Genomic DNA, 16,896 nt, shown 5'->3' on the forward strand with positions numbered 1-16,896 from the left:
ACTGCATTCTTATAAAGCAGCCACCACTTGTTTTGTTTCCAGGAGAAGTATTTTTGAAAGCTGCTCACAGAAGGAGGTGTAATGGGAGCTCCCACCCCTCTGACAAGAGTGATGTGTAGTGCTGGGTTCACCTGCCACAGAAGGTCAGCAGTACGTGAGGAAGACGGCGCCAGGAGACTGGACATAGCACTATCTATGGTCCACAGTCAGAGCCAAGCACAAGATCATGAATCATCTTTGTAAAGATGCATTGAAACCAAAAAGGTAATGACAAGGAGGAACCAGGCATTTCCCACTGCCACTAAAACTGGTATTTGTTGAACCCTCACATCTTCTGTAGGATGTGGAAATATTGTATGTCTACCCCAGGAGATAATAAAGACTCACTGTCACTTACAAGGTGCCAGGTAGTATTCTAAATTCTTTGCATGTATTAATATATGACTATCTGGAGTTATTACTGCCATTTGTCAGATGAGGAAGTAAAGCACAGAGAGTTTAAATAACTTACCTGGGTCTTGGTGATAAGTGCTAGAGCCAGGTTTTAAATTCATGGTTTAGTGCCAGACCACCTGCTCTTAACCACTATGCTCCACTGTCTCAAGCATAAGCAAATAACAGCCTCTAGAAATTCCAGGTTTCCTGAAGGTGCAGACTCCTCTAGCTGAGACAGAGTTCTTCACAGCAACTTCTGCTACCACACCTCTATGTCACATCCTTAAAAGTGGAATTTGCCTTTTTATTAAATGTAAAAACATGTACGAACTTATCATTCATGTGGAGTTAGCTAAACTCTCTGCTACTTCTAGTGGTAGGAGATACGGGTGCTTGCAATGACAGTTCTTTATAAGAAGGACCAGAGCAATGTAGAGGTTGAGAGATTAAAATACCATACATGGGGAAAGTCCTTGCTGCTCTAAGCTTTGGCTCAACTAACAGGCAGAGATGGTCACAAACCAGATCCTGGTAAGGGACAGCCCAAAGCGCCCAGGAAGGAGGCTAACAGTACACCACCACCAGCCTGGCTCGCTGGGAACCCTGCTGCCAGCACCATTCAGCTGTCCCTGGAATTCCAATAATGGTTTGTGAACCAGCTTAAATAGGGTGCTATAATCAAGGAAAAGAGAAAAACCAAACCTGTAAGAGAAGAGCATTAAAACTACTCTCTATCCTCCTAACCAAAGTTGGTTCTAACAGCTTAAATCAACTGATAATGAATAAATGGGTACAGCCAGAGGATAGAGCAATGCTCCTGTGTAAAGTAAATGTATGATCTAGATCTGTAATTTACCTATAAGAATTCTCTTAGCAAGGATGCAACATGGGTCAAGGGGTTGAGATTGCACAACCTTGTTATCTGTACATTTAACAAAATGTGGAAATTACTGACCACTAGTAATAAGACCCTCAATGACTAACGGTATATCTGTAACTTAAACTACTCAAATCCATAGAGCAAGGGGGTGGATTGTTGGAGGCCTTGCTACTATTAGAACTGGAGTCCATGGGGCCAGGAGGACGTGCCCATCCAGAGCCCAAGTCTTCCTCTCTAGACCATGGCCCATGGAAGGAACAATGGGATTCTCTGTTCAAGGGGCTCCAAGCCTTACTCTAAACCTTGCAATGGCAGCTTCTCCAGGTTCGTTCCTGAAGACAGACCATGACATCAGGTACATATCCCAACGCCTAAGGGATGTCCAAGGGTCAGCTGTTTGTCAGGGAGGTGGATGGCATGGATGTATAGGCTGGAGTGTCCATGCTCATACATGGGTGTTAGGGGCCAGGACAGAGTCAGAGATGGGAAGAAAAGGGAAGAGTGGGCCAGAGGGCAAGATTTCCCCAATCCACCATGCTCTGTCATAGAACTCCAGCATAGGAAATGCAGCCCTCAGGTTGTTAGGAAAGTATACTTGTCAAGGTAAGAAGACATATTTTATTTAGCAGTTTGGTTTATAACTTGATACATAGGCCTTTACTTATACTCTTGCCCCAGATTCTAGTTGAAGGCTTAGTTTTGTATCCATATTGAAGATATAATTTGAACTCCAAAGGAGATGTCATCCATGGTTAAGTCGAATGTGTTCAGGGGACTTCTGATAGAATCTTAAGCATCACTTGGTCTCTGGCCTCATACTGCCATGTGGGACTTTCTGACTCTCAGGGCTGCTCAAGGTATCACAGGCGCCTCTAGTCTACACTGTGAAAGGCTTTTCTAAATTGCCCACTCTTAAAGATTTCCAGGGTTGACAAAGTTTCTACTGGTACCAAATATCCTTGTAGTATTCTCTTGCTATACCTCTGAACATTTAAGAAACTCTTTCTTCCTTTGAGACACGGTCTCACTCTGTCACCCAGGCTGGAGTGCAGTGGCACGATTACAGTTTGCTGCAGCCCAGGATCAAGGGATCCTCCTACCTCAGCCTTCTGAGTAGCTGGAACTACAGGCATGCGCCACCACACCCAGCTAATTTTTTTTTTTTTTTTTGTAAAGACAGGGTTTCACCATCGTGTCCACATTGGTCTCAGACTCCTGGACTCAAGCGATCCACCCACCTTGGCTTCCCAAAGTACTGGGATTACAGGTGTGAGCCACTGCGACCAACCAAGAAACTCTCTTCATCAAGGTATTACGTGTGTAAAACCAATCACTTCATGCAACTGTCAAATCTTCTCTTTCGAAGGCATGTAAGTATTAGGAAAGAATTATATTGATTCATATCTTCTAACCATGAGAATTAAGATGAGAAAAATCCCTATTAATTTAAAGAGGTGGAGTTTAGGGAGCCTCCCTTAGCATGAATAACTAAATTACACACACACACAAAGGAAAGAAGGGACACAACAGAGAAGTTTGCCTGGACAGCAATGATTATATACAATTAGGATACATTAAAAGAAAATAAATAATTGCAGAGGAGGACAGAACTGTGAAGATGTGGAAATTTCCCAGCAGATCTTTTCTAAACTCTCCTATGACAAGCAAACTGCCGTGTGGCTTACCATTTTATAGCGCTGAGGAAATTGTTGTTACACAGTGCTGCTTCACCTGTAATGGCAAACATCAGAACAAAAACCAGAGCCCCCGAGAAGAAATGTGTAAAGATATCTTCATGGTGCATGGAGATTATAGTGTTTCATGCTTTTGAACAGGAAAGCATTTTCGGTTTTATATACTGTCTAATTTAGAGCAAACATTCTTTAAGTCCAAGGAGCATTATTCGCCTTTAGAAATTTCTACTCCAAATAATATAGCACTGCAATTACGTGAGATCATTCTAGAGATTTAAAAATGCTTTGGGAAGACACAAAAGTGCCCAGCAAACTTTAAAAAAAAAAGCTCCACATCACTAGTCATCAGAGAAATGCAAATTAAAACTACAATGAGATACCATCTCATACCAGTCAGAATGGCTATTATTATGAAAGTCATAAAATAATAGACGTTGGCAAGGATGCAGAGAAAAGGGAACACTTATACTCTGTTGGTGGGAATGCAAATTAGTTCAACCCCTATGGAAAACAGAATAGAGATTTCTCAAAGAATTAAAAATAGAATGAACAATCAACCTAGCAATCTCACTACTGGGTATCTACCCAAAGGAAAATAAATCATTCAATCAAAAAGACACCTGTACTCGTGTGCTACTGCAGCACTATTCACAATATCAAAGTAATGTATTCAACCCAAGTCCCCATCAACAGCGGATTGGATAGAGAAAATTTGGTACACATATACCATGGAATACTATGCAGCCATAAAAAGAAAAAATCATGTCCTTTGCAGTAACATGGATGCAGCTGGAGGCCATTATCCCAAGTGAATTCATGCACGAACAGAAAATCAAATACTGCATGTTCTCACTTATAAGTGGGAGCTAAACTGTGGGTACACAAGGACATAAAGATGGAAACAATAGACCCTGAGGACTCCAAAATGGGCGAAGGAGGGGAGGCAAGGGTTGAAAAACGACCTACTGGCTACTATGTTCACTGTTTGGGTTAGGGGTTCACTTGAAGCTCAGACCCCAGCCATCATCCAATATACCCATGTAACAAACCTGCACATGTACCCTCTGAATATAAAATTAAAAACAATAATATATAGTTTGAAATAGCTAGAAGGACGATATTGAAAGTTTCCAACACAAAGAAATGATAAATGTTTTAGATAATGGATATGCTAATTACCCTGATCTGATTACTATACAGTATATGTATTGAAACATCACTATGTATCCCATAAATATGTACAATTATGTCAAATAAAAACAAAATTAAATTAAAAAGTAAAAAAAAAGATACAAACTCTGCCCTCAAGGAATTTTCTGTCCAGAATTAAGGAGAGGCAGTGACAACAGTGCAGGATGAGCTTGAGAGAAGAGCTGGATACCATGAAGCATCTAGGAGAAGCACCCAACCCAGCTGCGGCTTCAGAAGCAGGCAATGTCGACAGAGATACAGAGCACACATGACAATTAACCAGAAAAAAAGAAGAGAATGGAGCAGAAGAAACAGCACAGTGCAAAGGCCAGGAAGCAAGTGTATCTTCTTTCACTTTGCAGCAACAATATAGTAATGATGTTGTAGACACAACGGCAGACAGTCCTTGCTTTCATGGAGGTTGCCTGGTAGAAGAGGCAGGAAAGAAGCACAGTGTGCATACCACTCGGGTCATGTGGGTGGTCAGGGATACCCACAGCTTCTAATCAAGACTTCGGAGAAGATGGCAAGCTTCCTATCTTCAGCTGAGACACAGAGGATGATTAAGATTATTCAAGAGAATGGGGCAGATAAAAGACAATTCCAAGAAGCAAGCTCAGAAGGAGAGAGGCCATAGAAGATTCTGTAAATTATGCGGCATTCATTATGGCTACAGCACAGCACTGAAGGAATTGGGAGATATAAAAAAGCTAGGCAAGTTTGAGTCCATTGTAAAGAGCCCTGGAGAGCTAAGAACTTAGAATGAACTTCTACTATTATTTAGAACTGGAACATAACCTAAGGGATGGGATGTGTAGTGTTGTCATGAAAAGATAATGTCAAATCTTTGCCCCACCATTCTCTACCTGTTTATGATACGTAGATTTGGGCAAAACTGTTCATCTATTTCAGTTTTCTCATCTGTAAACTGGAGATAATGTTAGCATTACTTCTTAAAATTTTTTTGAGGATTAAATAATTAAGTAAAGCCCTTAGCACAGTGCCTGGTATACAGTCATTGGTCAATAAATGTCAGTTCCCTTCCTTCTATAAATAAGTAAAGAAATAAATAATAAAATGCTTTGGAAGCATTAATATGTTATCATAAGACTATTTCAAGAAAAATGGTATTATAGTACCTATTATGTGGTATAGAAGAAAAATATGCCAAGGCACAATATAAAACATATTGCTTTCACTTCCTTATTTTAGGAAATTTCAAACAGCAAAATATAAGATGCAGATGGTTGAGTGCTAACCAATATCTGTCTGACTGGAGAAATAAGCTCTTGATGAAGGATATTGACAGCTTCAACCACAGATACATACTCCCCTCACTAAAAGATGCTGTGGAGGAATCCAAGGGTTTAATCAAAACACATCAGCTCACCTAAGTTTCTTTCCAATTCCTTAATATGAATGAGTTCTCCAAAATTTGAGGCTGTATCAGCAAAATGACTTTGCAGGGAGCAGGGACAGAGGGCACGGTGAGGAGGTTTCTGGGATACTGGAGGCTGTCCTGCTGTGTTTGTTTCTAAAGTTTTTCATTACATTGAGCAAAGTTCTCAAAACTCCCAAAGCCAATAATTTAGTGTTCATTCCTTCAGGCTTTACATCATGTTTTGTAAACAACTCTTTTTTTCCTACTAGATTAGAATAAAATCAACTAATATGTATTTATTGAAGATTTTGTAGCATTCAGACATCTTGAAAGACCTATCAGATATGTATATGAAATTGAGAGTTAATAGAAATAAAGGGGTTACAAACAGGTGAAGGTCACCTCTTGCAGCATCTAAAATATTTTTTAATCATTTTCAATGGAAACTCTTAAAAGCAGGATTGTACACTTGCCTGTCTTTTCTTGCTGACCCAGGCTCATCATAATGAGCGGCAACAGCCGTACTATATCCCAATCTAGTGATATCTTTAGGGACGACTTACTGGAGTGTGCTACTGAAAAGCACTAAGTGCTATGGGGCACTGAGAGAAGAACATAGAAAGTATGATGAGTGCACAGGAGACAGTGATCGGTGCTACTGAGAAAAAGGAAGTCAGAAGAAGCTTCATGGAGGAGGAGTCTGAGCTGAATCTTTTTTTTTTTCTTTGAGACAGAGTCTCGCTCTGTCGCCCAGTGGCGCGATCTTGGCTCACTGCAAGCTCTGCCTCCCGGGTTCACGCCATTCTCCTGCCTCAGACTCCCCAGTAGCTGGGACTACAGGCACCTGCCACCACGCCTGGCTAATTTTTTTTTTGTATTTTTAATAGAGACGGGGTTTCACCGTGTTAGCCAGGATGGTCTCGATCTCTTGACCTCATGTTCCACCCCCCTCAGCCTCCCAAAGGGCTGGAATTACAGGCTTGAGCCACCGCGCCCGGCCCTGAGCTGAATCTTGAAATGTGAGTAGATGTTTGTTAGATAAACCAGGAAAGGGCACCTTAGGCCATCGTGGATGACATGATGCACTTCTCAGGTCCCTCTTCAAAACTGAAGGATTAATTCCTCTAGCTGCTGGGGGCTCTGTTGACAGACAGCCCTCTGCTGCCCACCTTCTTCATGAGCTGTCTCAGCGAAGAGATTGTTCAGCCAAGGTCATGGCCTTTCCTTTCCTGGGAAAGTCCACATTCAATGACTGGTTGATGTAGGGGCTATAAAGGCCCAGTTCTTCACCCCAACTTGGGCAAGTCAGAAGGTTCATTCCAAGTTTAGATCTCCTGGTTGGTTTCCTAAGGCCTTTGTTAGACATATCACAGCCCAACTTCCCCCTCTGCTCAATTTTGATTTCTTTCCTACCCACCCCAACAATGCTCCCTAATAAACCTCCTGCATGCTAATTCCCACCTAGATATCGGCTTCCTGAGGAGCCTAAACTGGAAGAGTTGATACCAGAAGTGGTGCATGAAAGCAGATGCTAGCTAAGATAGGATTTTGGAGTCAGACTACATGTTGTCACAGTGGCAAGGACACTGTTATTCCTGGTAGGCAGAACATAGATAGTGCCTGGCCCAAGGCAGTTATGCAATTGTAAAGACTTGCACTGGTGTTGAACAGAGATAGGATACAAGTGGAAGGGAATGTACTAGTAAGTGTAACATGTCAGGTGTTAGAGAAATGTGAGAGAAACTGTAACTTAAAGGACAATTATATTGTATTGTATAAAGGCTGCTGCTAAACACAACTGATCAGGAAAGGCTGAGAGAGGAAGTGTGAAACCAGAGGACTGGACTGGGAGCACTATGAAGAGGTTTTCATTTCCTGAAACCAGAGGACAGAGAAAGCTGAGGGCTAGGACCAGTACTTCATCATAAGATTAGCAGTGACGTCAGGTTCTGGACATAATAGAGTAATAAAACAGGGTTTACCCTCTAGCCTAAAAATCTATACAAAACATACAAAAGTAATTTTTTAAATTTGGGCATAAGGAAATAAAAAGGAAAATTAGAAAGTATTTTGAACAGAGTTAAAAATTACAAGGAGGCTGAGGCAGGAGAATGGCGTGAACCCAGGAGGCAGAGCTTGCAGTAAGCTGAGATCGTGCCACTGCACTCCAGCCTGGGTGACAGAGCAAGACTCCGTCTCAAAAAAAAAAAAAAAAAAAAAAAAATTACACAGAAAAGCAACATATCAAAATTTGCAGGATACAGCTAAAACATTACTTAGAGGTAAATTTATAGCATTAAATACTTATAGTAGGAATAAAGAAAGGTCTCAAATATTGGCTTCCACTTTAAGGATCTAGAAAAAGAACAAATTAAACCCAAAATAAGCAGAAGAAAGTAAATAATGAAGATTATAACAGAAATCAATGAAATGAAAAGCAGAAAAAAATAGAGAAAAATTAATAAAAATTAAAGCTGGCTCTTTAAGAAAATAAAATTGGTAAACTTTCAGTCAGACTTATCAGCAAAAAAGAGAGAAGACACAAACTGCCAATATTAGGAGTGAGAGAGGTAACATCATATGTATTCTACAGATATTATAGGTAACTTTATGCCAATAAATTCAAGAACATCAATTAAACGGGTGAATCCCTTAAAAGACACAAATTACAAAAGCTCACTCAAGAATATATAGATGAGCTGAACAGCCCTATATCTACTGGATATGTAGTTAAAAACCTTTCTTTCCACAAATAAAACTATGGCACAGATGTCTCCTTTGATTAATTCTACCAAAAACTTAAGGGAAAATAATACCCCATATACACAAACTCTTGTAGAAAATTGAAGAGGAAATAATACTTCCCATTATATTCTATAAGGTCAGAATTACAACCAATCAAATGCATTACAAGAAAAGAAAACTACAGATCCATGTACCTCATGAACACATATGTAAAAATCCTAAGCAAAAAAATTTTGCAAATCAAATCCAACAACATAATAAAAAAATTATACATTATAACCAAGGGGGGAGTTATCCAATGTATACGAGGTTGATATAATGCTCAGAAATCCAAGTAACATACAATATTAATAAACTAACAAAGTGATAATGTCAGTAGAGACAAAACAGCAGTTGACAAAATCCACCATCCATTCCCAATTTTAAAAAGACAACAACTCGGAAAACCAGAAATAAAAAGGAACTCAACTTGACAAGGAGCATCCACAAAACACCTATAATCAACATTATATCGAGCAGAGAAAGACTCTTCCCGTAAGAATCAGAAAAAAAGGCCAGGAAATCTGTTCTCACCACTTCAACATTATACTGAAGGTTCTAGCAATAGGCAAGGAAAAACAAGGCATCCAGGTGGTAGAGAAGTAGAATTATTTCTATTTGCAGATGATATGACTGTCTACAGAGAATATCAAATGGAATTCATATAAAAAGCTAATTGAATAAGAAAGTTTGAAAAGATTGCAGAATATAAGATCTATATGAAAAAATCAAGTATACTTCTATATACTCAACACTTACAATGGCATCAAAAATATGAAGTACTTAGAGATAAATCAGAAAAATATGTGCAAAGTCTGTCCATTGAAAACTTCAAAAATATTGTAGACATTTTGTAATATCTAAATAAATGGAGATATATCCCTTGTTTTTGGGTCAGAAGATTCAATATTGTTAAGATACTCATTCTCCCCAAATCGAGCTACAGATTTAACACAATTCAGGTCAAAATCCCAGCAGACTTATTTTTGTACAAATTGACAAGATACTACTGAAATTCATATAGAAATGTAAAGGATCTGAATACAACTTTAAAAGATTAAAAAATTTAGAGGAAAAACACTACTGGATTTCAAGACTACTTATTACAAAGCTCCAGTAATCAAGACAGTGTGAAATTGGCACAGAGGAAGACAAATAAATCAATGAATCAGAAAAGAAAGTCGAGAACACACATATACAAGCCACTGGTTTATCCAAAGGTTCAATTCAATGGAGAGAGCATAGTCCTCAACAAGTGGGGCTGGTACTACTGGATTTCCATATTAAAAAAAAAAACACACACAACAACAATGTAATCTACATCTCACATCATATACAAAAATTGAGTCAAATGAATGATGGAATAGCATAAAACCAAAAATTATAAAATTTCTAGGAAAAAAAAGAGAAAAATCTATGTAAACTTAGCAAAGATTTCTTGGATATGACATCAAAAGCAAGATCTATAAAATAATAAATTAAACTTCAAAATTTAAATCTTCTCTTTCAAAATAATTAAGAGAAGGAAAATATAAGCCATAGGTGGGGAGAAAATACTTGCAAATCATGTATCTGATGACCTATATCCAGAATATATAGAAGACTCTTAAAACTCAAGGATAAGAAAACAAATCAATGTATAAAATGGGCAAAATATTTGAAGACATTTCACCAAAGAAGATCTATAGATGACAAATGTGTCCCAGTAATACAAAATGCATTCAATAGTATAAAATTTAAGAATAAAGACACTAGATCTTCTCTAAATCACAACACACACCAGATTAAATGCACAGAGAGGAACTAATTCATTTTCCTCTTGCCACCATCCCCAGGCTCAATATTGGTCCTCCTGAGCAGACACAAACATCAAAAATAGTGGTCTCTTCAACTTTACATGAGAATTTGCACCATGACCTCTCCTTTTCTCACCAAACTGTCTCTTACTCCTAAGAGACAATATAGCAAACATACACAAGAGTGCGGGCTCTGCTTACCATCCCAGATATACCACTTACTGTGTGGCACTGGGCACGCTGCTTAACCTCTTTGTGCTCCAGATTCCTCATCTGCAAAATGGAGGTGATGATACTAGTGTCTACCTCAAAAGATTTTTGTGAGAATTCAATGAGTACACACACAGAGAAACTTTCAGAACACTGACTAGAAGGCAATAAGCAGCTCAATAACTGTGAGTGAGCTATTATTATCATCCTTTCTCAGGAGCCCAAATTTCTCCTTTAGTTGAAGGAGGTTGAGAATTGTGGAAAGAGCCGCGAAAGCCGGGAAGCTCGTATCCTAGGTTCGACGTCTCTCCTGACTGACGGGATGTGACACTGGCTGAATCAATGTTCCCCTCCTCATCTCTAAAATGAACAGGTACACTAGATGAACTCTCGAGCACGGTCTCTCTAAAACCTGTACTAATGACATCCCTGCGTCTTTTTTTGGAAAATACAGGAAAGGCAGCGGAAAAAAGGGCACACAGGAGCAGTCAGGAGATGTTAGCAAGAGGCAGAAGGCCATTTATTGGGAAGCACGGGGGAGAGAGAACATGTAAAAAGGGTTTGTGGCACAGCAAAAGAGGACCACTTTCTCCACCCACATCTTTCAAATCTGTCCACTCGCCTCAGTCCTGTGGGCGGCAGTGCGGTGTAATGCAGGACCCAGAGGAAATCTTCGTGGGTTCTGTTCCCAGCCCTGATAGTTACTGTGTGATTTACTCTCTGTGCCTCACCAAAGAAATAGAGATGTCAGTAATCCTTCCCTGCCTTAAAAGGCTGCTGGGAAGATCAAACAAGAGAATGCAGGTAAAGCATGTTAACCAAGCCTGGCACATCAGAGCTACTCATTGGAGGAGTGCTTGTCATCTGTCCTGTTGCCACGACCTCAGTTCAGCCTACTATCTCCCACTCGAACTCCTATAGGGCCAAGCTATGCCCATGAACAAAACCTTTTGGTTTCTCTGTGGCTCTTTTGATAAATTTCTAAATCCTAAGTACAAAACCTGTATGAGCGGATCCCTGCCTACCTGTCAGGCCTTCCTTATCTCTTTGCTCTCCACTCCTTCTTTCTGTCTCACACCAGTTCCTGTCAGTGACAATTAGCCACCAAGAAGCCCTGCTCTTTCTCACCTCTGGGCAATTCACTGAGCTTTCCTGTTTCCTTTCCAGACAGCACTGCTTCCTCAGAGAAGCCTCCACCCACCTTGGGGTTAGGTCCCCTACCCACACCCTCAGGGCACAGGCACCCCTCTCTCTCCTGGCTGTAACCACTATACTTCTGTTTGTCTTCTCCCTCCCTAGGAGGGTAGGCCCACATCTGCCTCCTTCCTCACTGTATCCTGCATTCAATACCTGATTCAAGGTAGACACTCCGATGCAAGTCTGACAAGTTAATGATTTAACAAATCAAAGTGGGCACGACTCAGAGAAAGAGGGCAAAGGAAAATTCCCGACATAAAAAAGCGAAGAAGAAGGAGAAGGAGAAGGAGGAGAAGGAGCAGGAGGAGCAGGAGCAGAAGGAGCAGGAGGAGGAGGAGCAGGAGGAGGAGGAGCAGGAGGAGGAGGAGCAGGAGGAGGAGGAGCAGGAGGAGGAGGAGGAGGAGGAGAAGGAGGAGGAAGAGGAGGAGGAGAAGGAGAAGGAGGAGGAGGAGAAGGAGGAGGAGGAGAAGGAGGAGGAGAAGGAGGAGGAGGAGAAGGAGAAGAAGAAAAAAACCAACTAGGGTGAGACCAGGGGATGGGGAGACAGCCCTGAGAAGAGAGGAAGAAATATCAGTAGCTGATTTAGGAAAGGAGTTTCAACATTTACAAATCACTCCCCCCCGACCCCCACCTCTCCCACTTGCAGGCTGTCAGGTCTTCCAGGGCAGAAAGCCCATCATCTGGAGCAGTCTCTTGATTTAAAAAAAGTTAATTATGACATTTTTACAATGATAAGTGATCAATTAGGTAGAGCTGTACAAAACTGCCATATGGGGAGCTCAAAAACGTTGTCGATATCAAAATGGTTCATACAATATAAATAACTTACCCGCATCACCTTGCAGTTTGTTAGTATATTCTTAAAGAAACACGTTTACTACCGGGCGCAGTGGCTCACGCCTGTAATCGCAGCACTTTGAGAGGCCGAGGCGGGCGGATCACCTGAGGTCAGGAGTTCGAGACCAGCCTGGCCAACATGGCAAAACCCCGTCTCTACTAAGAATACAAAAATTAGCCTGGCGTGGTGGTGCACGCTGTAATCCCAGCTACTCAGGTGGCTGAGGCAGGAGAATTGCTTGAACCCGGGAGGCGGAGGCTGCAGTGGGCCGAGATCGCGCCGCTGCACTCCAGCCTGGGCGACAGAGCAAAACTCTTGTCTCAAACAAACAAACAAAAACACGTTTATAACACTTACTGTGTCTAAAACAGTAGTATGATTGCCATTATTTTGGAGATGAAGAAGCTGAGGCCCAAGGGGTGAAGTCACTCGCTCAAAGTCACAGGAAGAGGGAGGACTTCAACCCTGGCTCCAGAGTCGGAACCCTCCACCATTAGGCTACACTGCCTTCCGGAATGAGTCCGAAGATTGCGGCTTGGAGACAGTGACTGGCCCACGTTCACAGCCAGTAAGGAGCCACTTGGCCGGAACGTGGTGTGTCTGGCGCCAAAACCCCTGCACGTTCCCCGACCCCTTTCCTGGAGTCCAGTGCCTTTCTGCCTCTTCCTCCCCTTCCCACGGCCCCGCCCATTTTACAGATTAGGAACCTGAGCTGGAAAAGGCCAGGCTGTCCGGCCAGTCTGCAGAGGACCTGGTGCAGCCGGGGCTGCGGTGCGGAGGGCCGGGTGGGGTTAGGGTCCGCCCAGGCGCGGGGGAACCGACAGCGCAGGGCGGGAGCGGGCGGCGAGGATCCCACGAGACCCGGGACTACTTCCACAAGGGGAACGATCGAGGACGGAAGGTGGAGGGGGGCTTACTCCAGCCCATGGCGCCTCTCCAGTTCGCTGACCCCGCAAGCCGGACCCGGACCTCGAATGACGCTTTTCACCCTTCACCCCTGCTCCTCAGCGCGTCCCCGTCGGAATTCAGGAGCCATGGCAACGGGGACTCTACGGCGGCCGCGCGGGACCAAAACAAGCCGCGTTTCCTGAGCTCCGCGGAGCAAGCAGAGGAGACCGCAGTGAAGGGGCTCAGCAGACAGGGGTTCCCCAACCCAAACCCAGTCTTCGTCCTCGTCGCACTTCCGACTTGCCACAGACTGCTTCCCTCTCCCTGAATCAATGGTTTAGAGTGAACAAAGTATGAGGACGCTTCTCTTTTCTGTGCCTTCCAGGCTTGCCTTCCAGACCGCCTTTGACTTTTTCCTTTTTGTGTTTGATTTACAGCTTCCAGAGCCAACAGATCTGGATTTGGCCCCCAACTCTACCAGCGGCGTGACCTTACACTTCCTTCTCCTCAGTTTGCACATCTGTAAGATGAGAAATAACCTAAGAGGATCACTGTGAAGCTTTAATTAGATAATTTGAGTGAATGAAAGACACTATGAAAACAACAGGCTCACTATAAAGATTCGTTGTCGTTGTCATATTCCAGCTTTTTAAAGTCACTCTCCAACACTCGTTTCCGGCTAACAAGCTTTCCAGAAACGCCACCCATTACCCCCTCCATCAATTTCCCTATTCTCCACTCTCTTAATTGTAAAATGTAGGAAGTATATCTCCTACAGCCCCACACTCCCCTCACGTTTCCCCAGACCCTTCTCCAAAAGTGTGCAACGCGCCTTCTCCCATTCTAAACTAGGAAGCACATCAGCAAGCTCATTCACCCTCAGATCTTAGTGTTAGCACTTTAATGCGTTAGCTTCCCAAGAATCTTTAAAAGGTACCATTATTATGAAAGTAATTATTATTCTTTACTCCATTTGCAGAAAAAGGAGGGGGGCAATATGTAAAAGGTAAAACCTTCTCCCATCCCAGTCGTTTTAAACAGTATGGAGTGCGTGCTTCTTATCTTGATGTGTGTATTATGTTTGCATTTTAAAAGAAGATTCCTAGAGCAATGCTGAGTGCAAAGAAATTAATTTTTCTAGCGAATAGCTGTTAAGCATTTACAGCTGGCAATTATTAGAGTTTGCCAGGTAGAGACAAGGTCATGAACTTGGACAGAGAGGCAGGAAAGTCTAACAGAGTGAGGTGATGGGGGGAAGCAGAAACATCAGTTTGGCAATAAAGAGAGCTAGATAGAAGGGATCTTCGAACAGTAAGAATGAGAGATTAGATCGGGGGTAATGGGGGCCTTAAATGCCAGGCCAAAGGAACTGAACTGGAAGAGTGGGATTTCAGGCACTATTTCCCTGAATATTTGGATTTCCAAGGAGGCCTCCCAAAAGGCACTCAAACTATAAACTTACCTGACATCCACTATTATTTTTCTGAAAGCAGGTTAGTGTGAGGTGAACAGTATTAGCTCTGGCATTGGAAACATAGATTAAATACACAGATTTATTACTGTGTGGCATCAGACAGATGACTTCACCTTTGAAAGCTGAAACTTCTCTATTTCCACATGATGATGACAATATGGGTAAACATCTGTGGTCGTGCCACTGACACGCTGACACTGACACGTGACACTGAGCACTGATGTCTGATTACTCACAAAGGAGATGAAATGCTATTAGCAGCAGGCAAGTTTAGCAAATTCGCCTGTGCTTGAATTGTGCATTTTAACAACAAGGGGTTCATCAAGGCTAAAAAGGATCTAGCTTCTAGAAGGAAGCTACTACTGGGCAGAAAGATTAGTTTCTAAGCTGACAAAAGCATGAGGTCAGGCCTACTATAAAGGATCTCAGCTTGCAGTGAACTAGGATTGTGCCATTGCTCTCTAGCCTAGGTGACACAAAGAAACGATGTCTCTTAATAAAAATTAAAAAAAAATAATAAAGGATCTCAGCCTCTGGATCAGGAGACAAAGGGAGCCACTCCAGAACCGCAGAAAGTTCTCAAGAGCAATTGCAACCCAGGTATTTGACATGTTGGCTCTAAGCTTCTATCCTCACTCTCAGACCTACTCACTGTTGACTTAAAAAAAGAAACTGAGGTAAAATTAATATATATAGTCCCAGCTACTTGGGAGGCTGAGGTGGGAGTACTGCTTGAGCCCAGGAGTTCGAGGCTGCAGTGAGCCATGATCACTGCACTCCATCCTGGGCGACATAGTGAGACTCTGTGTCTAAAAAAATCGGGGTGCTGGTGCGTTGGGTGCCTGATGAGAGCCTGGTCTCCACTTCCAAGATGGTGCCTCATTGCTGCATTCTTCTGAGGAAAGGAGCCCTCTGTCCTCACATGACAGAAGGGATAGAAAAGGTGAAAAGGGGTGAACTCCATTTGGCAATCCCTTTTATAAGGGCATCTAATCCTATTCATGAGGGTGGAGCCCCTGTGACTCAATCACCTCCTTAAGGCTATGCCTCTTAATACTGCTACATTGGGGATTAAATTTCAACATGAATTTTGGAGGGGACAAAAACATTCAAACCACAGCAGCCCCTTTGACAACTAGAGAGTTCAAGAGTAAGATTGAGAGTTTAAGAGTGATGAGAAAGAAAATAAACTTTCTATCTGAGGAATGGGAGCACCCTTTAAATTATCAGGCCCAGAGAGGCACTGAAATGTGACAGCAGTCAAGTTCCAGTCCCCCATCCCCTTAAGCTAAGTAATCGTTTCAAAGCTGCCTGCCGTATGGACCCTAGACTGCGTGTTGCCACCAATGGCTATAAATAAACCTAACAATGCTGTACACTGGACATCATAACTCATTCCCTATAGTTTAACAATGTACAACCAATAACTAATCAATGTTATTTCTGTAAACCAGTGAGAATTCCTAACAAGCAACTTTCGTAGTCACCCGTTTCCTGATTAGTCCTTTTTTCTTTAAAACTGGAACCTCAACTTTGTTCTCCAGAGCACTTCCCAGTGTTTCCCAGGTTTCAGTCTTCAACCTTGGGACTATGTGTGTGCACCATCATGCCTGGCTAATATTTTTTTAGATTTTTTTATAGAGATAAGGTCTCACTGTGTTGCCCAGGCTGGTCTTGAACTCCTGGCCTCAAGAGATCCTCCCGCCTGGGCATCTTAAAGTGCTGAGATTACAGGTGTGAGCTACCGTGACTGGTGCCTAGTGCCCTTATATTGAACTTCCAATATTGGACTTTTATCAAGAATAAAAATAAATTTTTATATAAAAATAAATTTATAATTTATTAATATTTATAAGAATTTATAAGAATAAAAATAAATTTTTATTCTTGAGAAATGACTTAGTCTTAGATATTTCACTATAGAAGTAACAACAGACTAGGACATGTGCCTTGGATTTTTCCTGTGAAATTTTATATCTGTGGGACTCAAGTATTCTGTTCATTCATTCATAAGTGAATAAACAATTGGGCTGTCATTCTACTGGAGAAAAATCTCTAAGATACTTTTAAGCACTGTGCGCTCAACACTGCCCATGTACTTTGAAATTACTAACTCAATTCTCACAGT

The 16,896-nt window shown here is 42.0% G+C and overlaps 1 protein-coding gene and 1 long non-coding RNA gene across 25 annotated transcripts in view; one reads left to right on the forward strand and one right to left on the reverse strand.

The window, feature by feature from the left end:
- The window catches only part of DNAAF11 (dynein axonemal assembly factor 11), a 132,498-nt gene that overhangs the window by 91,745 nt on the left and 23,857 nt on the right, over positions 1–16,896 (reverse strand). For 10 of the 24 annotated variants that reach the window (NR_135908.2, NR_135906.2, NR_135907.2 and 7 more), the window contains exon 1: positions 13,324–13,385. The exons of 5 other annotated variants lie outside the window; for them this stretch is intronic. Coding sequence is in view for 5 of the 19 variants with exons in the window: in NM_001321962.2 (NP_001308891.1) it covers positions 13,324–13,333 (10 nt within the window). In the remaining 14 variants the exon portion in view is untranslated. Of the gene's footprint in view, positions 1–12,397; positions 13,386–16,896 lie in introns of those variants that run through there. 9 more of the 24 variants (NR_135911.2, NR_135913.2, NR_135912.2 and 6 more) reach the window with 3 other exon arrangements.
- On the forward strand, positions 13,470–13,898 carry LOC105375767 (uncharacterized). The gene is made up of 2 exons (XR_928665.4): positions 13,470–13,645; positions 13,732–13,898. It is a non-coding gene; the product is annotated as an uncharacterized LOC105375767 (long non-coding RNA).

This window comes from Homo sapiens, chromosome 8 (genome assembly GCF_000001405.40).
Source record: "Homo sapiens chromosome 8, GRCh38.p14 Primary Assembly".
Taxonomy (NCBI): domain Eukaryota; kingdom Metazoa; phylum Chordata; class Mammalia; order Primates; family Hominidae; genus Homo; species Homo sapiens.